The 22,490-nt window shown below is 42.7% G+C and overlaps 1 pseudogene; it reads right to left on the bottom strand.

The window, feature by feature from the left end:
• Window positions 1–14,120: 14,120 nt before the first annotated feature.
• On the bottom strand, window positions 14,121–14,719 carry RPA3P1 (RPA3 pseudogene 1; annotated as a pseudogene).

The raw sequence follows: 22,490 nt of genomic DNA, 5'->3' as shown, positions 1-22,490 counted from the left end.
GCCTGAGTCACTGGAAGGGGAGAATTCATTTGGAAGTCTAAACTATATCAATGTGACCAGCATGTCCTCGTTAGATAAGAGACAAAGAGAAAAACTTAAGAAATATAGCTTCCTTTCCCCACCACACCTCACCACCTCATCACTAAAAGCCTGTTTATAACTTCTTTCTACCCAATACACCATGCTTGGCTATCACGAAAAAATTACAAGGCATACTAAAAGGCAAAAAACACAGTTTGAAGAAACAGGCACCACAGGAATGTTGAAGTTACCAGAGAGGGAATTTCAAATAACAATAATTCACATGCTAAGGGCTCTACTGAATAAAGCAGGCAGTGTGCAAGAACAGATGGACAATGTAAGCAGAGACAGAAATCCTAAAATAAACAAAAACAGGCCAGGCACGGTGGCTCATACCTGTAATCCCAACACTTTGGGAGGCCAAGTAGGGTGGATCACCTGAGGTCAGGAGTTCAAGACCAGCCGGGCCAAAATGGTGAAACCCCATCTCTACTAAAAATACAAAAATTAGCCGGGCGTGGTGGCACACGCCTGTAATCCCAGCTACTTGGGAGACTGAGGCAGGAGAATCACTTTAATCCAGGAGGCAGAGGTTGCAGTGAGCTAAAATCACCCCATTGCACTCCAGCGTGGGCAACAGAGCGAGACTCTGTCTCAAAAAAAAAAAAAAAAAAAAAGAAATGTTAGAGATTTTCAAAACACTGTGACAGAAATAAAGAATGTCTTTGTGGGGCTTGTTAGCAGATTGGACATGGCTGAGGAAAGAATTTCTGAACTTGAGACTACGTCAGTAGAAACCTCTAAAACTGAAAAGCAAAGAGAACAAAGACTGAAAAAAAAAACCCCAAAACAGTACAAAATATCCAAGAACTGGGACAACTACGAAAGGTATAACAAACTCATAATGGGAATACTAAAATGAGAAGAAAGACAGAAAAGAACAGAAGAAATATTTGAAAAAACAATATCTGATAATTTCCCCCAATTAATGTCTGATACCAAACCACAGATCTAGAAAGCTTGGAAAACCCCAAAGAGGATAAGGGCAAAAAATCACTCCTTGCCATATCATTTTTTTTTTTTTTTTTGAGACAGAGTCTCGCTCTGTCACCCAGGCTGGAGTGCAGTGGCCCGATCTCGGCTCAATGCAAACTCTGCCTCCTGGGTTCAAGCAATTCTCTGCGTCAGCCTCCCAAGTAGCCTCCCGCCACCACGCCTGGCTAATTTTTGTATTTTTAGTAGAGACGGAGTTTCACCATCTTGGCCAGGCTGGTCTTGAACTCCTGACTTTGTGACGCCTTGGCCTCCCAAAGTGCTGGGATTACAGGCGTGAGCCACCATGCCCGGCCACCATATCATTTTTATATTACAGGTAATCAAAGGAAAGAAAAATTCTAAAAAAGCCAGAGGGAAAAATATTCTTACCTACAGAAGACCAAAGATAAGAATTATATCCAACTCTAATCAGAAATTATGCAAGCAAAAAGATAGTGGAGTGCAATATTTAAAGTGTTGAGAGAAAAAGACCACCAACCCAAGATTCTGCAACCAGAAAAATTATCCTTCAAAAGTGAAGGAGAGGCCAGGCACAGTGGCTCATGCCTGTAATTCCAGCACTTTCAGAGGCCAAGGCAGGTGGATCACTTGAGGCCAGGAGTTCGAGACCAGCCTGGCCAACAGGGTGAAACCTTGTCTCTACTAAAAAGACAAAAAATAGCCAGGTGTGGTGACACATGCCTGTAATCCCAGCTACTTGGGAGGCTAAGGCATAGAATCACTTGAACCCGGGAGGTGGAGACTGCAGTGAGCAGGTATTGCACCACTGCCCTCCAGGCTGGGTGACAGAGCGAGACTCCATCTCAAAAAAAAAAATTTTTCTTTCTTTCTTCCTTCCTTCCTTCCTTTCTTTCTTTCTTTCTTTTTTTTTTTTTTTTTTTGAGATGGAGTTTTGCTCTTGTTGCCCAGGCTGGACTGCAATGGTGCAATCTCGGCTCCCCACAACCCCCACCTCCCAGGTTCAAGCGATTCTCCTGCCTCAGCCTCCCAAGTAGCTGGGACTACAGGCACCCGCCACCACACCCGGCTAATTTTGTATTTTTGGTAGAGACGGGGTTTCTCCATGTTGATCAGGCTGGTCTCAAACTCCCGACTTCGGGTGATCTGCCTGCCTTGGCCTCCCAAAGTCCTGGGATTACAGGTGTGAGCCACCATGCCCACCCAACTTTTATTTTTCTTATTCTTAATTGACCTAACAGGTAACAGTTCATTCAAAATAATAACAGAAATAATGCATTCAATTGTGTATGCTTATGTATATGTTCGGTATATTATACATATATGCACATTATATATTACATATATATCATAGTCTATATGTACTTATATATGTGAAATAAATGACAGCAATTATGTAAAGATCGGGAGGGAGGAATTAGGATTATTTTGCTCTTATATGATACTCACTCTACCTGTGAAATGGTATAGGGTTATTTGGAAGTTGGCTTGGATTAGTTGTAAAAGTATAATGTAAACTCTAGAGCAATCACTATAAAGAAGTGACAAAAGAAGTATAGCCAAAAAATAAGAGAAAATGGAATAACATAAAAGGCTTATTTAAAACCATAAAAGGCAGAAAAAGAATGACAGACAAAAAATAGATCCCCGCTGGCAAGGGGCATGGAAAGAAAGAGAAGAAAAGAAATAAGCTTAACAAATAGAAAACAGTAACAAATATGGTAGATGTCCATCAGACTATATCAATGATCACTTTAACATCAATGGCCTAAATATACCAATTAAAAGACAGTGATTGTCAAGGTGGTTCATAAAAGACTTATCAATATGTTGTCTATAAGAAACCCACTTTGAATATAAAGACATGTAAATATTAAAAGTAACAGATGGAGAAAGACATACCATGTTAATACTAACAAAAAAATTTGAAACACTGACAGCACCAAATGCTGATGAGGATGTTCAGCAACAGGATCTCTCCATTCATTGCTAGTAGAAATGCAAAATGATACAGCTACTTTGGAAGATGGTTTAGTCGTTTTCTACAAAGCTAAACATCCTGTTACCAAACAATCCAGCAGTTGTGCTCCTTGGTATTCACCTAAAGGAGTTGAAAACTTACGTCCTTACAGAAACCTGCACACTGATGTTTATAGCAGGTTTATTCATAGTTGCTAAAACTTGGAAGCAACCATGATGTCCTTCAGTAAGTGAATGAATAAGTAAACTGTGGAACATCTAGGCAATTTTGCTATGAACCTAAAACTGGCTCTAAAAAGTAGTCTATTTTTTAAAAAAAGAGTTTTAGGAGGGGAAATCATGATCAGATTTTTATTTTTAAGAGGTCACTCTGGCTTCACTGACCCATGTGGGTGGAAATAAAGAACAAAAATGGGTGTAGAAGAACAGTTAACTGCAGTGGTCCAGGTGAGAGATGGTGCTAGTTTGGTCTCAGGTGGCCGCAAAGGAGAAGATGAAAACATGCTGGCCCTAGAGGGGAATAAGATTTACAGACGTGTCTCTCCGGAAGTCGATGAACTGTTTGGCCTTAGTTTCCTCATCTATTAAAAGAGAGAGAGAAGAGGACTATGGGAGTTGGCCAGAGGTCTTCATGATTTAGGGATAACCTATCACTGAACCAAACGTAAGGCAAACAGAATCAACTGAATGCTTGAGTCAGACATCTTTTCCTTTGTAATGGCAGCCCTATATTAGACAAGAGCAGTATCAGGCAGATGATGATTTTTATGAGATAATTTTGAAAACATAACTTCCTGGACACTCTTCAAATATAACGACCCACTTCTTTATTATCCTAACTGTGCTAATAGTGAATATTAAATATGATAATATTATCCAATATGAAAATAGCCATTGAGAGACACAGACAATATGTGGAGAGGTTCCAAACTACTTCAAACAGGAGTCCCAGAAGTGAACAAAGGAAATGGAAGAGAAGTGCTATTTGAAGAGATAATAGCTAATACACTGATAGACTTTGACAAAGGCAGAATCCTTCAGATTAAAAGTAACAGGAGGTACAGAGCAGGAAAAGTGAAAGTAAACTTACACCTACACATTACGATGGAACAACAGAAAATCAAAGCTGAAGAGGAAAACTCTTAAAGCTCCCAGAAAGAAAGTAGAGATTGCTTACAAAGGAATGATGATTAGATGGACCCCTGACTTTTCATCGCCAAAAACAAGTGCCAGAGGACAACCGGTAATAATGGAAGTTAGTGCTGATGATAAATAACCATCAACCTAAAAATCTGTACCCACATAAACTATCATTTAAAAGCACCTGAGAACTATAACTGAAAGACCATTGATGAAAAGGACATAGTATAGAAAAATAATAATAACAGCAAACACTTATTGAATACTTACTATATGCAAAGATAGTGTTCAAAGCCCAAAAGTCATTTAATTCTCACAGCAATCTTGAGGGAGCTACTATAATTACCCTGATTTTACACAAAAGAAAACTGAAGCACAGAAAGGTTGAGTTACTTATCCAAGATCACACAGCTGTAAAGTGGCAGTCAAGGCTCTACACCAGGCAGCCTGGCTTTGAAGCCTGTGTACGTCCTCACCACTCCCAGAGCCCGGGGGGAAGGAGTCAGACTCAGGAAAGAGCAGCAGGCACAGAAATGAGTAGCAATATGAGGGTAATATGTTTTTAAAACTTGAGAGAATTGAATTCTTATGTGTTCTTTTAAGAAACAAAACTAAAATTCTTGGCAATACTGACAAGGCAGATGGAGGAAAAGCAGGAGTGAGCTTTGTTCTCTAGTAAGTGTGGAAAGTCCAGGAAGTGATCAGAGATAAATCTTGGACTTTGGGCTTTTTGGGTTGCTTTGTAGGTTTAGTTAAATGCAAAAGTTAACAGTTAAAGGGTAAAAACACTAAAAACATATATAAAGACACTATGAGACCTTATTATGAGGAAGAACACGGAATTTACCTTCGTTCCCACTGATAGAATTAATTAAATGGGCCGGGCACAGTGGCTCACGCCTGTAATCCCAGCACTTGGGGAGGCTGAGGTGGGTGGATCACCTGAGGTCAGGAGTTCAAGACCAGCCTGGCCAACATGGTGAAACCCCATCTCTACTACAAAAAAATACAAAAATCAGCTGGGCGTGGCAGTGGGTGCCTGTAATCCCAGCTACAGGAGAGACTGAGACAGGAGAATTGCTTGAACTCAGGAGGTGGAAGTTGCAGTGAGCCAGGATCGCGTCACTGCACTCCAGCCTGGGCGACAAGAGCGAAACTTCTTCTCAAAAAAAAAAAAAATAAAATAAAATGAATTAAATGAACTGTGGCCAGCGGCCAGCGTTCCTTCTCTGGCCGATAAACCTCAGGAGTTTACAGCACACAGACCAGATCAGTCAGGAGTAGTCATCACACCGTGGGGCACCCTCAGTGGCCCTCTGCATTTTTTGCCAGAAGTTAGCATGTGCCTGTGACCTAAGCCTCACCTGTAAGCCCAGGAGAGAGCTGTGAACTGTAAGTAGAATGTCACATGGGCCTTACAGAGCAACTGTAACTCAGGGGTTAGTTGAGTGGAGGTTGTAAACCAAAATAAAATTCTAAGCCCCCCAGTTGGCTAAACAGGCCTCTCTCTTGGCCAACAGGATCCCAAAGAAACCTGAGAGACTACTTCAGGCCATGATGGGAAAGGCAAGTTTGGACATGCCTCCTTTTACCCTGGTAAATGGTAAAATGACTGGTTATTTTAAAAAGAGGGATGCTTAGGACAAAACAGAAAGTCCAAGCAAGTCATAAATGGTCTGTGTAAGTCACGTTAAGGTTCACAAAAGGAGAACTTATGAAAGAAATTTTGTATGTGATTAAGGTGTCTATAATTAAAAGGAAATTATAATCATCTTTCTAGAGATTGGGCTTTGATATTAAAAACACACTAAGACACTAAATAATTGATTAGAACAACATATTTTCTTTCTTTTTTTTTTCCTGAGATGGAGTTGCACTCTGTAGCCCAGGCTGGAATGCAGTGGTGTGATCTCAGCTCACTGCAACCTCTGCCTCCTGGTTCAAGTGATTCTCCTGCCTTGGCCTCCTGAGTAGCTGGGACTACAGTCATGCACCATCACGCCTGGCTAATTAGAGATGGGGTTTCACCATGTTGGCCAGGCTGGTCTCAAACTCCTGACTTCGCATGATTCACCTGCCTGGGCCTCCCAAAATGCTGGGATTACAGGCGTAAGCCACTGCGCCCAGCCCAAGATTTTTTTAAAGTGTTGATTTACTCTTAATAAAATTGAATTATAGGAAGTTTTAAATGTTGCATTCTCCTTCAGCAGCTTTATTATGTCATGCCACTCTCTCTTGCCCTGTGAGGTTTCCACTGAGAAGTCTGCTGCAAACATATTGGAGCTTCTTTGTATGTTTCTTTTCTTTTGCTGCTTTTTGGATCCTCTCTTTATCCTTGACCTTTGGGAGTTTGATTAGTAATTGCCTTGAGGCAATTTTGTTTGGGTTAAATCTGCTTGGTGCTCTATAACCTTCTTGTATTTGAATATTGATATCTTTCTCTAAGTTTGGGAAGCTCTCTTATTATCCTTTTGAATAAACTTCTACCCTAATCTCTCTTTTTACCTCCTCTTTAAGGCCAGTAGTTTAGATTTGCCCTTTTGAGGCTATTTTCTAAATCTTGTAGGTATGCTTCATTCTATTTTATTCATTTTTCTTTTGTCTCCTCAAACTGTGTATTTTCAAATAGCCTATCTTCAAGCTCACTAATTCTTTCTTCTGCTTGATCAATTCTGCTGTTAAGAGATTGTGATGTTGGCCAGGTGTGGTGGCTCACGCCTGTAATCCCAGCACTTTGGGATGCCAAGGTGGACAGATCACCTGAGGTCAGGAGTTTGAGACCAGCCTAGCCAACATGGTGAAATCCTGTCTCTACTAAAAATACAAAATTAGCTGGGTGTGGTGGTGCTCGCCTGTAATCCCAGCTACTCGGGAGGCTGAGGGAGGAGAATCGCTTGAACCTGGGAGGCAGAGGTTGCAGTGAGCCGAGATCATGCCACTGCACTCAAAAAAAAAAGAGAGAGAGAGAGATTGTGATGAATTCTTCATTATGTCAATTGCATTTTTCAGCTCCAGGATTTCTGCTTGATTTTTTTTTTAAGATAGGGTCTCATTCTGTTGCCCAGGCTAGAATGCAATGACATGATCACAGCTCACTGCAGCCTTGACCTCCTGGGCTCAATAGATCCTCCTGTCTCAGCCTTTCAAGTAACTAGGACTACAGGTGTGCACCACCGCATCTGGCTAATTTTTGTATTTTTTGTAGAGGCAGGGTTTTGCCATGTTGCCCAGGCTGGTCTTGAACTCCTGGGCTCATGTGATCTACCCACCTCAGCCTCCCAGAGTTCTGGGATTACAGACATGAGCCACTGCATCCAGTCTGACTCTTTTTTAATTATTTCAATCTGTTACATTTATCTGATAGGATTCTAAATTCCTTCTCTCTGTTATCTTGGATTTTGTTAAACGTCACCAAAACAGCTATTTCGAATTCTTTGTCTGAAAGGTCACATATCTCTGTCTCTCTGGGATTTGTCTCTCGTGACTTGCTTACTTCGTTTGGTCATGTTTTCCTGTACGGTCTTGATGCTTGTGGATGTTTGTCAGTGTCTGAGCATTGAAGAGTTAGGTTTTTATTATAGTCTTTGCAGTCTGGGCTTGTGTGTACCCATCCTTCTTAGGAGGGCTTTCCAGGTATTCAAAGGGACTTGAATGTTGTGATCTAAGTCTTTGGTCACTGCAGCCATATCTGCTTTAGCAGGCACTTAAAGCCCAGCAATGCTGTGGCTCTTGCAAACTCATAGAGGTACTGCCTTGGTAGTCTTGGGTAAGATCCAGGAGAGTTCCCTGGATTAGTAGGCAGAGACTCTTCCTCTCTTCCCTTACTTTCCCCCAAACAAGTGAAGTATCTCTCTCTCTCTCAGCTGACTGCTTAGAGCTGGGGGAGGGTTGACACAAGCACTCCTGTGGTCACCACCACTGGGACAGTGCTGGGTCAGACCTGAAGCCAGCACAGCCCTAGGTCTCACCCAAGGCCTGCAGTGACCACTGCCTGGCTACTGCCTGTGTTTACTCAAGCACCAAGGGCCCTACAATCATCAGGTGGCAAAGCCAACTAGGCTTGTGTTCTTCCCTCCAGGGCAGTGAGTTCCCCTTGTTCCCGGTGGGTCCAGAGATGCTGTCTGGGAGCCAGGGTCTGGAGTTGGGAACCTTAGAAATCTACCTTGTGCTCTACTCTACTGTGGCTGAGCTGGCACCCAAGCCACAGGACAAAGTCCTTTCCACATCTCCCTCCCCTTACTTCAAGAAGAGGAGTCTCTCACCATGGCCACCATAGCCCACTCACTCCCAGGCCCATGGCAAGCACTGCCAGGCTACCACCATGTTCACTCAAGGCCCAAGGGCTCTTCAGTCAGCTTGTGGTGAATTCTGCCAGTCCTTAGTCTCTCCTTTTAGGACAGTGTGGTCCCTTTGGCCTAGGGCAGGTCCAGAAATGCCGTCCAAGAGCCAAGGCCTAGAATCAGCGACCGCAGGAGTCCACTTGGTGCTCTACCCAACTGTGGCTGAGCTGGTACTCATGCTGTAAGACAAAATCCTCTTTACTCTTCCCTCTCCTTTCCTCAAGCAGAAGGGATCTCTCTCCATAGCCACCATAGCTGGGAATGTGCTGGGTCACACCTGAAGCCAGCACAGCTCTGAGTCTCACCCAAGGCCTGCAGAGAGTACTACCTAGCTACTGCTGCTGCTTATTCAGGGTCCAGGGACTCTATAGTCAGCAGGTGATGAATCCTGCCAGGACTGGATCCTTCCTTTCTAGGCAGTAGGTTCCTTCTGGCCCAGGGTGTGTTTAGAAATGTTGTCTGGGAGCTAGAGACTGGAATGCAGGCTTCAGGACTCTGCCTGTTGCCCTATTCTACTGTGGCTGAGCTGGTATCCAAGTTATAAGACAAAGTCCTCTATACTCTCCCCTCTTCTCTCCTCAAGCAATGGGAAGGAGTCTCTGTTGGAGCTGTGAGCTGCACTGCCTGGGGCTGGGGGAGTGGTGATGCAAACACTCCCTTCGCTGCCCCAGCTGGTATCTCACTGGGTTGTGTGTCTCCTAAGTCTCCTGGCTCTGAGCCCAGCACAACACCTGGGTAAGATCCAGGAGAGTTCCCTGGATCAATAGGCAGAGACTCTTCCTCTCTTCCCCTACTTTCCCCCAAACAAATGAAGTCTCTCTCTCTCAGCTGACTGCTTAGAGCTGGGGGAGGGTGGACACAAGCACCCCTGTGGTCACCACTAATGGGACAGTGCTAGGTCAGACCTGAAGCCAGCACAGCCCAGGCCTTGCCTGGGAATTGAGGTCCTGTGACCTAAACTGCCTTTCATGTTTATTTAGGACCCCAGAGCATTTTAGCTCATAATGGCAGGGCTTGCCAGAACTCAGGTTCCCACCACTAGGATGGATGATTTGCCTCTGGCTAGGGCTAGTCTGAATGCTCCCTTTGTGGGTGCCAGCTGAGTTTTGCCCCATGTTGCTTTCCACTATGACAGGGCAGCACTGGGTTCCAATGCAAAGCCCCCGACACTCGCTGTGCTTTCTCTCTTCCAGATGCACAGGGTCTCTCTATGCACTGCCAGGGGATGAAGTAAGGGTGATGTAGGTGATTCAAGGCTGTTTCTCCTACCCTCTTCAGTGCTTCTTTCTTTAATATGGTGTTAAAACCAGGCACTATAATTACTCACCTGATTTTTGGTTCTTATGAAGGTGTTCTTATGTGGATAGTTGTTCAATTTGTTGTTCCTGCAGGGGATTGTGAGAGGGATAATCATTGGATGCTTCTATTTGACCATCTTGCTCGACTTCCCTAATCTGCTTCTTTTTAAAATTTCTCAGATTGATATCTCAGAAGTTCACCTTCTGCCATACTCTGCTGCTTTCAGCTTTTTATCCCTTTGGAAAGGCCTAGGATGGTAATGCTCTCCTTCAAATTTTGTTGGCTTCTGTGACTTTTTTTTTTTTCTTTTTCCTCCAGTTCTAAATCTGTTTTTATGGCCTGATGTAAAATGTTTTATCTTGAAAGTTTTTAAAGAAGGCAATATTTTGGGCATAGTGGTTCACATCTGTAATCCCAGCCATTGTGGGAGGCCAAGGCAGGAGAAATGCTTTAGCCCAGGAGTTCAAGGCCAGCAAGGGCAGCATAGTAACACTGATCTCTACAGAAAATTTTTTTTAAAAAAATTAGCCAGGCATGGTGACACACGCCTGTAGTCCCAGCTACTCAAGAGGCTGAGGTGGGAGAATTGCTTGAGCCCATGAGGTCAAGAATGCAGTGAGCCAAGATTGCGCCACTGCACTCCAGTCTGGGTGATGGAGCAAGATCCTGTCTCAAAAAAATTAAAAATTAAAAAATAATAATTAAAAAAAGAAGGCCATATTTTCCTCCAGTATAACTTAATTCTGTACTCTTGGCTTTTTCTAACATATTTAGGGGCCAAGGGCCCCCCCAAAGGTTTGCTGAAAAAAATCAACTCACAAAAGACAGATTGGTTGAAGAGAAAGCGTATAGATTTGTTTGGCATATATATGTGACAATCTTCAGAGTAAAGACCCAAGATACAGGGAAAATTGTTCATTTTTATGCTTAGGTTCAACAAAGTATGAACAGCCTTGTAAAAAACTACAGATACAATTGAACGCTAGTAGACTGTGTGGGGAAAGGAGCAAGGCCTGTCTGCCTAGATTCTTCTTCACCTCCCTGAGTATGCATTTCCATCCTTCTGGGTGTAGGGGTCTTATAACCTATAGTCCAACAAGGAAGTTCAGAGAATTTCTTCATGGCCAGTTTTCACACAGTAAAGTGGAGAAAAAATTAGAGGAATATTTTTAAGTGTTATGGCTGGCTTTGATGAAAATGGGCTGTGGTTTCTGGGGCCCACCTTGGGGAAGAAAGATTCTAGTTTCTATAGCCAGCCTAAAGGGAAAATGGGACTGAGAAACAGGAGGGCAGGAGAAGGCCAAAGAGAAACTTTTACTTCTGAGGCTGCTCCTTTGGTTATGTGAAAGGAAGATACCATGGCCGCCCACAATCTCTAAGGCAAACTCAAGCTGGAAACTGCTTAGGGCAAAACCTGCCTCCCATTCTATTCAAAGTCATCCCTCTGCTCACTGACATAGGTGCATATCTGACTGCCTCTTTTGGAAAGGCCAGTCAGAAACTCAGAAGAATGCAACCATTTGTGTCTCAACTATCTGTGACCTGGAAGCTCCCTCCGGACTTCCGGTCCTCCTGCCTTTGCTTCAAGTTGCCTTTCCAAGCAACTTCCTACTTCTTACTTACATTGATTGATGTCTCATGCCTCCCTAAAATGTGTAAAAACAAGCTGTGCCCTGACCACCTTGGGCACATGTCGTCAGGACTTCCTGAGGCTGCGTCATGGGCAGGTCCTCAACCTTGGCAAAATAAACTTTCTAAATTAACTGAGCCTGTCTCAGATTTTCTGGGTTCACAGTTATCATTTTGGGGTATTGTTTTCTGAAGCCCAAGATACGTCTAAAGTGGTCAACATAACCAGACAACTTCCCATGCTGTAGCTAAGAGTCACATATTTCCCCCCTCAAGGCCTCTGTAATATAGTGGTCACTCAACCTGGGACACACTCTTTCTGTGTGTCTGATTAATTTATCTTTTCAGCAAGTCTGACATTCAGGTTATCCAAATGGGCTTCCCATAAGGAAAAACAATCACTGTAGAAGAGGTTTTTTTTCCTCCTTTTTGGCAACTAGCCTAAGAAACAAAAATTTTAAGATAATTTCTATGTTGTTTTTATCAGGTTTTTAAAAATTACTTATTTTTTATTTATTTTTTTTCTTGAGACAGAGTCTCGCTCTGTCACCCAGGCTGGAGGGCAGTGGTGTGATCTCAGCTCACTGCAACCTCCACCTCCCGGGTTCACGCCATTCTCCTGCCTCAGCCTCCCGAGTGGCTGGGACTACAGGTGACCGCCACCAAGCCCGGCTAATTTTTTTTTTTTTTTTTAATAGAGGCAGGGTTTCACTGTGTTAGCCAGGATGGTCTCAATCTCCTGACTTCGTGATCTGCCCATCTTGGCCTCCCAACGTGCTGGGATTACAGGCATGAGCCACCGCACCCGTCCTAAAATTACTCTTAAAAACTAAACTTTAAAAGAGTTAAGGTTTTTACATCCATATAACTTCCTATACAGCTTTTAAAGTCTTTTGGCCAGCTCGGTGGCTCACGCCTGTAATCCCAGCACTCTGGTAGGCCAAGGTGTGTGGATCACTTGGGGCCAGGAGTTTGAGACCAGCCTGGGAAACATAGTGAAACCCCATCTCTACTAAAAACACAAAAATAGCTGGGCGTGGTGGCGTGAACCTGTAAACCCACCTACTCAGGAGGCTGAGGCAGGAGGATCCCTTGAACCAGGGAGGCAGAGGTTGCAGTGAGCCAAGATTAGGTCACTGCACTCCAGCCTGGGCAACAGAGTAAGACTGTCTCAAAAATAATAACAATAAAAATAAAGTCTTTTTATTATCACTCTGGTTAAGTGAATAACTATTATTTTATAATGACCCGTGATTCTGTTTCAATAAAATGTTTTGAGTCTTTTAACATTTTTTGACAAACAGTCTCAAAAATCAAATCCTAACTTAAGCCTCTGACTTAGATTTATTGCTGGGACCTTATCAGAACTATAAAAATCACCCCAAGGTTATAGAATCTTTCTATAGCTTCCAATTAAGATAAACTTTAGTATCATCACCTCCAGCCTGATGATTAGACATCAGTTGAGAGATTCCCTCCATTCCCATTAAATAGGGTCTTTATCAAATATGTTAACTAGCTCTTGTGCTGTTAAGTTGAAGGGGTGTGACTCCTAGGTACTCCTATGTCATCTCAAAGGAACACTTGACTCCTAGTAAATCTTAAATGTCAATACTGTTATCTGGCAGCAAACTTAATTTAACCAAAACCTCATCCTCAGACCTGAGAGATGGTAACAGCCAAAAGAAACCACTTTCATGTTACACTTGTTAAAACAAGTTTAGCCTAAAGCTGCCTCCTTACATATTTTAAGTTTGGCCTAAAGGTTTCTCTGTATATTGTGAACAAACAGAGGTATAAACAGACTGTAGCCTATACTTGTGCCAATCACCGAGTTTTGGGCAATCAGATGTAACCAACTGTTCAACTGTTCAAATAAGGCCAACTGTTCAAATAAGGCAAATGCCAACCTGTAACCAATCCAGCTTTTTCTCTACCTCACTTGTATTTTCTGTGCATCACCTTACTTTTTCTGTCCATAAATCTTCTTCCACCACGTGGCTGTGCTGCAGTCTCAGAGCCTATCTCATGAGGTTGCCTGATTCGTGAATCATTCATTGCTCAATTAAACTCTTAAATTTAATTCAGCTAAAAAATTTTTTTAAATCACACTGGACAAGACCTATATTCAAAAGCATAAATACTGATTTAATAATTTTTCCTCGGCTGGGTGCGATGGCTCACGCCTGTAATCCCAACACTTTGGGAGGCCAAGGCGGGCGGATCATGAGGTCAGAAGATCAAGACCATCCCGGCCAACATGTGAAATCCCGTCTCTACTAAAAATACAAAAATTAACCAGGTGTGGTGGCACACGCCTGTAATCCCAGCTACTCAGGTGGCTGAGACAGGAGAATCACTTGAATCCAGGAGGCAGAGATTGCAGTGAGCTGAGATTGCGCCACTGCACTCCAGCCTGGCAACAGTCCTCTATCCAAATTAAAATCATTGTTCTGTGCCTTAATATTAGATAATTTAAATGTTTACTTGTTGTTTGTCAGTTTCCCTTTCCTGTCATTGTCAGAGCCAGGCAGGGCTTATGTCCTTTTGTTTTGTTTTCCACAGTAGAAAAAACAGACAAACAAAAACCGCTTTTTCTTTTCTTTTCTTTTCTTTACCATTTTAGTTTTTATTAATAAAATAGAAACCTAAACTCAGACAACTGCTTTGTTCTTGCATATAATCTGACCATAAATTGGAGTAGCAATTCTTTATAAAAGGACTTAGGTGAGACCTGTCAATATATCAGTTCCATCAAAAACTCTAGGCTGGAATACCTTAAAAAGAGCAAATTAAATATGAGAAAGCACAGAAATCTCTCCCTCAAACAAGAGGGGCTTCCTTTAATAGTCTTTAATATAGCTCATTTGCAATCATATGAAAATCCATCAAGATCAATTATGATGCACAATCCCTAAAGGATAAAACTGAGGAAACTCATGGATAATTTTCACAGCTTCATTGTAAAGTCCAAGATCAAAAGGATGGTTACCTCTTTAAACTGGACATAAGTTTACACATGATGGTGGCCTTAGCGGTTACTCTTCCAACCACTTCCATAATTCCAGAGATTTCTTCATCAAGGGGTTCCATCAGTTTGATGGTTCCATTTTTTCCTTCTCCATCTAAAAGAACAAACATTTTTCCAGTGGGATGAATCTTTTCCAGCCTCCCTACGAAGCAGACAGGCTTATCGATGAACTGAGCTAGCGTGCCAGCGTTGATGCGCAACCTGGGCAACTCCATCATGTCCACCATGATTATGGTCCAACACTGCAGTGGATGGGAAAACCACGAAAAACCCCTTTTTCTTTTTGAGCTATTTATAGCTTACAAAATTGGGTAAAGCAACAAATACTACCTTTCTCTCTGTACCTGAAAGCTCCAAAATTTAAAACTTATTTAGAATCCCACTGGGCTGAATCTACTTTCATTGCTAATGTCCCACTGCTAAAACTTACCTCTAGGGGAAATATAAGCACCTTCCCTCTAGGCAGGGATTACTGCGGAAGCAGTGGGCATGTGGGATTGTAAGTATGGATTATGAGGGACAGAATTAGTTCAGAACCTCCACATCAAGGGTGGGTATGCAGATGCCTAAACAGCTGACAAAATGAGAGACTTTTCCTCCTGGGTCATTCTGTGGCCCATTTCCATCTACCCCAACCATAAAGAATTTCCTACTTCCAGTAGAGTTAAAAGAAAATTGCAGAGAGGATATCAACTGACAAAAAGCTTCCTGGGTATAGTGCTCCCAGTTATGAGATTTATGAAGATAGACAGATATAATTATGTATAGTTTTTGTGCCTGGGGAGATCTTATTATTTTTTTATTAGCCATCTTAGAACAAATTACTAAAAAGACTGCAAAAAGTGTTGCAATACAACAAAGTCTCTAAACTCTCTAGTTTAAATGGTTTTAACAAAATGCTTATGTTCTGTATAGCTAATTGCTACAAGTCTGTAACTAAAACCAAGACTGCAGTAGCTCAATGCATAAAATTTATAGATAAATCAGTTCTGTAAACTTGCCTTTCGGCTTTTTGACTCTTATATTACTTAGAAGATTTTAAAGGTTTGATGAACGCCTGCCCACCTCCATTCCTGCCTGGCCTAGAATGCTTGAATTGACTATGAGTCTTTTAGATCTAAGTGTCTTGGCTATGGAGGTCCCAGCAAGGGACAGGATGGGTGCAGGTCAGGTGGCCACACCGCCGTGGCAACAATGCGCAACAAAATAAAAGTTTGGCCATTGATGGTGCTTCTGGCAAATCTTGGCCAGAAAGGGGAGAATGGAAACCAAAAATAAAATTCTAAGCACCCCAGTTGGCTAAATAGACCCTTCTGTTGGCCAACAGGATCCCAAAGAAACCTGAAAAACTACTTCATGCCATGATGGGAATGGCAAAGCTGGATACACCTTCTTTTACCCTCCTGCCTTTTGAGTTTAGGCACAACTGACCAGCACTAACTCAAAAGACTGACAACAGACTGTAGCAGTAAGATACCAAATTCCAACTGGACTCTGGTATAGCATCCCATGGCAGATCACAGGCCCTGAAGGAAAGCAAAGTATTTCACCCCAAAATATATTTCTTTGACAAATTTTGTAATGGCCCTGCAAAGCTGTCTCTTGTGGGAAATGTGTCTTCTGTAGAGAATCTCCTTCCATAACTAGGTCTTTTCCAGAAAGATTGATGCCTTTAAGGTCCAATAAGAGACATTTACCATCTATTCTCTCTGAAGCCTGCTACCTGGAGGCTTCATCTACATGACCAGAACCTTGGCTTCCACAACTCCTCTTATCTTAACTCAAGAATTTCTTTATGCTGACTTCAAACTCTTAAGGGGTGAAGCTTAACTTCTCAACGAATTGCCAGTCAGGAAATCTTTGAATCCACCTATAACCTGGAAGCCACCTCATTCAAGATGTTCTGCCTTTCCAGGCCAAACAAATATATACCTTCCATGTATTGATTTATGTTTTTAACTTGTAACTTCTGTCTCCCTAAAATGCATAAAACTGAGCGGTAACCAAACCACCTTGGGCACATGTTCTCAGGACCTCCTGAGGCTGTGTCACAGACCATGGTCCTTAATATTTGCAAAATAAGCCTCTAAACTGATGGAGACGTCTCTGAGATACTTGTTGGTTTACAAGGTTTACCTTCAGAGAAGAAACACCAGGAGTGCTAGTAGTCCACTGGGACTTAAGGAAGCAGGAGGAGAGTCCTCTACACCTATAATTCTTGAAGCAAAGTTTCAGTGGCTGTTATGGTGGCCAGGGCCCTACGCTGCTACAGGGACCCTGGTGACAGGTCAGACCTATGGCCCGAGATTTCTCCAGGCACAAATTTTGCTTCCATGTAGAATGCTAACCACTGGGGAGTTTGCAGCATGGCACAAAGGAGAGCCCACAGGCAATGATTTTAGGGGATCCAAGATGTCAGAGCCTGACTGTGTGAGATTCCTTGGCTATTCCAGGGCAGAGAGAATTTGGAAGTGGCAGAAAGGAAAGCTTGTCAGGCAGTGCCTTTTTATTGAGGAGGTAAACTTTGGGGGAAAGTACACAAAATAGTGAGGAAGGAAAGGGCCATCTGCCCTGCCAGCCGAGGCAGCTGAGCCAGCACTGTCAGTTCACTCCCACGTCCAGAGGCCCAGGCAGTCCTGGGCAGGGTTGCAGTGACAGAAGAGAAGTAACATTTCTTTTTTTTTTTTTTTTTGAGATGGAGTCTCACTCTGTTGCCCACGCTGGAGTATAGTGGTACGATCTTGGCTCACTGCAACCTCCGCCCCCTGGGTTCAGGAGATTCTCCTGCCTCAGCCTCCCCAGTAGCTGGGATTACAGGCAGGTGCCACCACGCCCAGCTAATTTTTGTATTTTTAGTAGAGGCGGGGTTTCACCACGTAGGCCAGACTGGTCCCAAACTCTTGAAGTCAGGTGATCCACCCGCCTCGGCCTCCCAAAGAGCTACTATTACAGGCATGAGCCACCGCACCCAGCCAGAAGTAACACTTCTTATAGTGGACAGCAGGGAAGTCGGTTGCTGGTGAGGAGGGGAATCATCCCTCGAACCCACCAAACTATCAGAGTCACTTGGTGGGAGGAAAATAGGTCTTCCTACAAAGGATGGGCCTACTCAGCCCAGGGTAGCCTAACACAGGTCACACCTTTGAAAACAGATGATTTCGTATCTATGGAAATGCCTCCTTTGCTAGAGGACTGTCATCAAGACCATTTGAGTATGTGGAGCTCTCATAATGGTTTGGCTTTACCAGTACAAGCAATAGTCTCCACCAGGTAACAGCGGGTCAGGTAAGGCTAGAAGCTTACTCGTATCAGCTTGAGGTGATATTAGGGATCACGAAGTCCCTCTGATTCTGAGTGTACAAGTGAGCCAAGTCAATAATAGAGCAGCACCACTGGGGCAGGCAGAAGACAGGAGGTGATAGATATTCACAGAGCGGCACAAGGGCTGGAGCCCAAAGTGCAACAACCAGTTCCAAAGTTGAGCCAAGGACCTAAGGGAGCAGGTGGACATGGGAGGCTGGAGCCATAGCAGGGTTCAGCTGTGTGGGACACCTAGGAACTGTATCCAAGGATTTCTTTCTTATATTATTTTTAATTTTTTTTAATTTAATTTTTTTTGGAGACAGACCATCACTCTGTCACCCAGACTGGAGTGCAGTGGTGCAATCATAGCTTGCTGCAGCCTCAAACTGCTGGGCTCAAGTGATCCTCCCACTTCAGCCTCCTGAGTAGCTAGGACTACAGGAGTGTACCACCAAAGAGTTCTGTCTTTGAGATGACTTTGTTTTTTGGAGACAAGGCTTCACTGTGTCTTCCATGCTGATCCTGAACGCCTGGCCTCAAATGATCCTCCTGCCTTAGCCTCTTGAGTTACTGGGATTACAGGAATGAAACACCTCACCTCACTCTGAGTGGTTGGCTACTTATTAGCCATGACATGGGACTGTGAAGTGACTTTTCTTCAAGGGCATCTTCAAGGTCCTGCTAGATATTTGACAAATATATGATAAGCATATCTGTGCTAGACATTTGACAAACATGTGATAAGTTTATCCACAACATGGCTACTGGCCATTAGACCACACATACTGCATTTGCTCACTCTTCTCAAGGTTTAAGGCCTCATCTCTTCAGTATCTCTGGAGGGTTGGCTTTAAGATAATTTATATTTCCATTAGCTGATACTGCTCTTACTGCTCTGCTACCTTTTCTTTTTTTGAGACAGAGTCTCGCTCTGTCACCCAGGCTGGAGTGCAGTGGCATGGTCTTGGCTCACTGCAACCTCCACCTTCCAGGTTCAAGTGATTCTTCTGTCTCAGCCTCCCAAGTAGCTGGGATTACAGGCATGTGCTACCATGCCCAGCTAATTTTTGTATTTTTAGTAGAGACAGGGTTTCACCATGTTGGCCAGGCTGGTCTAGAACTCCTGACCTCAAGTAATCCACCTGCCTTGGCCTTCCAAAGTGAGTTACAGGTGTGAGCCACCGCACCTGGCCCTTTTTTTTTTTTTTTAAATAAATAGAGACAGGGTCTCAGTGTGTTGCCAAGGCTGGTCTCAAACTCCTGGGCTCAAGCAATCCTCCCACCTTGGCCTCCAAAGTGCTAGGATTACAGGTGCAAGCCACCACACCCAGCCATCTGCTATCTTCTTTTACCACATTTTATAAATTTTAAAATCTCTTTGAACACTCCTATTTCACTTTATTCTACATTGAGAGTTTTTTGATCCAGACTCTAGCAGGAGCTGCAGAAGTATTATTCTCTGTGGGACAGAAACTTTGTACATTCTGGATCTAGAGTGGGGCTCTAATAACAGATGAGAATTGAAAAATGATACAAAGAAAAACAATTTTACAAAACATTTAGCTTTTAGAAGAAAACGTAGGTAAATATCATTATGACCTTGATGCAAGGAAGGATTTCTTTAAAAGATACCAAATGCACAAACTATAAAGGAAAAGATTATTAAAAAGCCAAATTTTAGAAAATAACATCTCTGAAGAAAGATAAGAGGAATTATAATTGTTTCTCAAAAACCAAAGCTTTAAGAGATGGTGAAAAGACTACACTGGGGTTTTACTACATAATCGACAACACATTCAATGTATTGGCTTAGTTATTGAATGTGTCAGAATATTACCTCACCTAGTTTTACCTATAATGTGAACTTTCTAACTGGGGTTTGGAAATGACATCATAGTGAAGACATGGTGTATATGTACAAGGAATGAAGACAGCCAACTGGTTTGTTTTGTTTTTCTTCACAAAGAGCAAATCAAAAGAAATGGGTTTCACATGAGGAACAATGTCATAGGAAAACAGTTACTGAAATGGATTTCTAATGGAAAATGCCAGACTCAATGTGCCCTTTTTTAATGATGAAAACATATTTCTCCCAATGAGCACTGAGACCATAGAAAAATTTTTTTGCCCTCCTCTAAGATAAATATTCCTACTTACTCTTAAGACAGACTTACAGGCTGGCCATGGTGGGTTACACCTATAATCCCAACACTTTGGGAGGCCAAGGCAAGAGGACTGCTTGAAGTCAGGAGTTTAAGACCGGTCTGGTCACCATAGCCAGACGCTGTCTCTACAAAAAAAAAATTAGCTGGGTGTGGTGGCGCACACCTAGCTACTCCGAGGCTGAGGCGAGAGGACTACTTGAGCCCAGGAATTTGGAACTGCAGTGAGCTATGATCACACTACTGCACTCCAGCCTGGGTGACAAAGCAAGACCTCGTCTCTTAAAAAAAAAAGACATAATTTCTGGTTTATTCCCTAAATCAGAAGCTCTTAACTAGGAATTTGCAATAGAATAATCTGCAGAATCTGGCGGAAAAAATACAGGCCTTGGACCTGATTCCTGTGGCATTGATTGAGTAAAGTCTGGCTGGGCCCTGGCATCCATGTTTTTAAAAATTATATTCCCCCTGTGATTCTGGTGTGAAGCTCCAGTTGAGAACTACTGTGACAGAACTTTTGGATTCTTGACTGTGATTAAGCTTTTGGTAGAATGATCTGTAATAGCCCTCAATCTTTATGACTGTCCCCGCCCCCTTATTCTTCCATCTGTTTGCTCACTTGACCTTCCTAGGTTCTTGATCAGTAACCCATATATGCAAATCATGTTGAACAAATAATGTATGGAGCAAGCAGGTAGCCTGGTAGCACCAAGTCCCTAGCATGTAATAACAATGAAATGAGAAGACTTGAGACAGTGAGAAAATGCTGAGAAAGAGAAAGAATGATCGAGAGCCTGGAAGCACATCAAGCCTAAAAGAGGAAACAAGGAATGGGAGCAAATGCATAAACCCATACCCTCCTCCCTTCATCCTGCCTGTAGTAATCCTTGCACCAGCCGTCTCCTTAGCAACAGCTTCCCATTGGTCGCCAGCCTCAATGGGACTGATACAAACCTTCTGTTATTTCCCTGAGTGCTGAGGAGACAACTGCCTCTTCTTCAGTTAATTTGCTATTACTCTTACTGATGTTCTACACTGTTTGGAATGTCTAGCTAATCCCACGAAGGCTTTTTCCTCTCTAACCTTCACACAGGCTAAGTTCTCTGTAACAGAGCTCATGCTCCTTCCCTGCTTACCACCTTCAGAAGTTAACAGAGGAAATCTGGACAAACTGGTTTTGGACAAACGTTACCTACAGACTCTAATTTTTGACACTCATGGCTGGATGGGTGAGACTAAAATGGTTATGAAGAGAGATTCAGACAAGGACTTCTGAATTTCACTGGGATGTCTGCTTGTGGTTTGAAGATTTCTAAAAACTGCTTCAATTGCCCTCAGATTTGATCTTCTTTTTCCTGTAGGATAAATGATTTATTCACTATGGCAAATGTTGGGCTGAAATTTTCAATACCAGTTCTTGGTTTGACAAAGACTATTGGGTTAAAACAACAACAACAACAAATCCTTGACCAGCCACTGAGACAATATATGAAAGGAAATTTTTAAGAATCCTCTAGGAATTTTGTCTTTTTTTTTTTTTTTTTTTAGAGGGAAGGTCTCACTCTGTCACTCAGGCTGGAGTGCAGTGATGCGATTAGAGCTCACTGCATCCTCAAACTCCTGGGCTCAAGCAATCCTCCTGTCTCAGGCTCTCGAGTAGCTGGGACTACACAGGCATACACTCCCACACCCGGCTAATTATTTTATTTTTTGTGGAGATGAGGGCTCACTTTGTTGCCCAGGCTGGTCTTAAATTCCTGGGCTCAAGCAATCCTCCTGCCTTGGCCTCCCAAAGTGCTGGCATTACAGGTGTGAGCCACTGTGCCTGGCCTCAAGTTTTAACATTACTATAAACATCTTATTGTCTCCAAAATATATGAGTATAATAAACCTATGGGACAGGATTTGAGTTACGCCATTTGGACTAATAATAGGTCAGACTTGATATAGTTAATTATGCTATTAGCTATAGACTATAGAGACCGAGACCCCAATTCACACTGCACTGGGAAGCATAGTTTTATCAAGGTTGTTCTCCAAGAGTAACAATCTCCAATCTAGTGTCCAGACCTCTTAGTGAGTAGGCCTGGTGAATGCTCTTGTGTTTCAGAAGTCTTAAGTTTCCTTTCCTGTCTCAACTTTTTGGGAAGGTCTAGGGAAAGCTTACATAAGAGTTAAGGTGAAGAAAAGTCTAAATAATGTTTGAAATTCTGAGAACATTTAAATATTTGTAGAATTAATTAATGGAACACTATCATATTTAGTCTATGTAATATCAATGATGAGTCCCCATGATTTATCCTGTTTCAGCCACTGTCATTTATAAAAATTGTCTAGTTCCTCTGCTGCCATGTAGACACTTGAGTTTTGATAATTCTTCTCTATCAGTTACTTTTGTTAATAGCGGAAAGAAGCAGTCTAAGAAAGAGCAGGGACCCGGCGTGGTGGCTCATGCCTATAATACCAGCACTTTGGGAGGCTGAAGTGGGCGAATCACTTGAGCCCAAGAGTTTCATACCAGCCTGGCCAACATGACAAAACCCCATCTCTACAAAAACAAATACAAAAAGT

Source organism: Homo sapiens, chromosome 2 (assembly GCF_000001405.40).
Source record: "Homo sapiens chromosome 2, GRCh38.p14 Primary Assembly".
Taxonomy (NCBI): Eukaryota; Metazoa; Chordata; class Mammalia; order Primates; family Hominidae; genus Homo; species Homo sapiens.
Note: the sequence above shows the minus strand (reverse complement) of the source record. Positions and strands in the feature narration are given on the sequence as shown.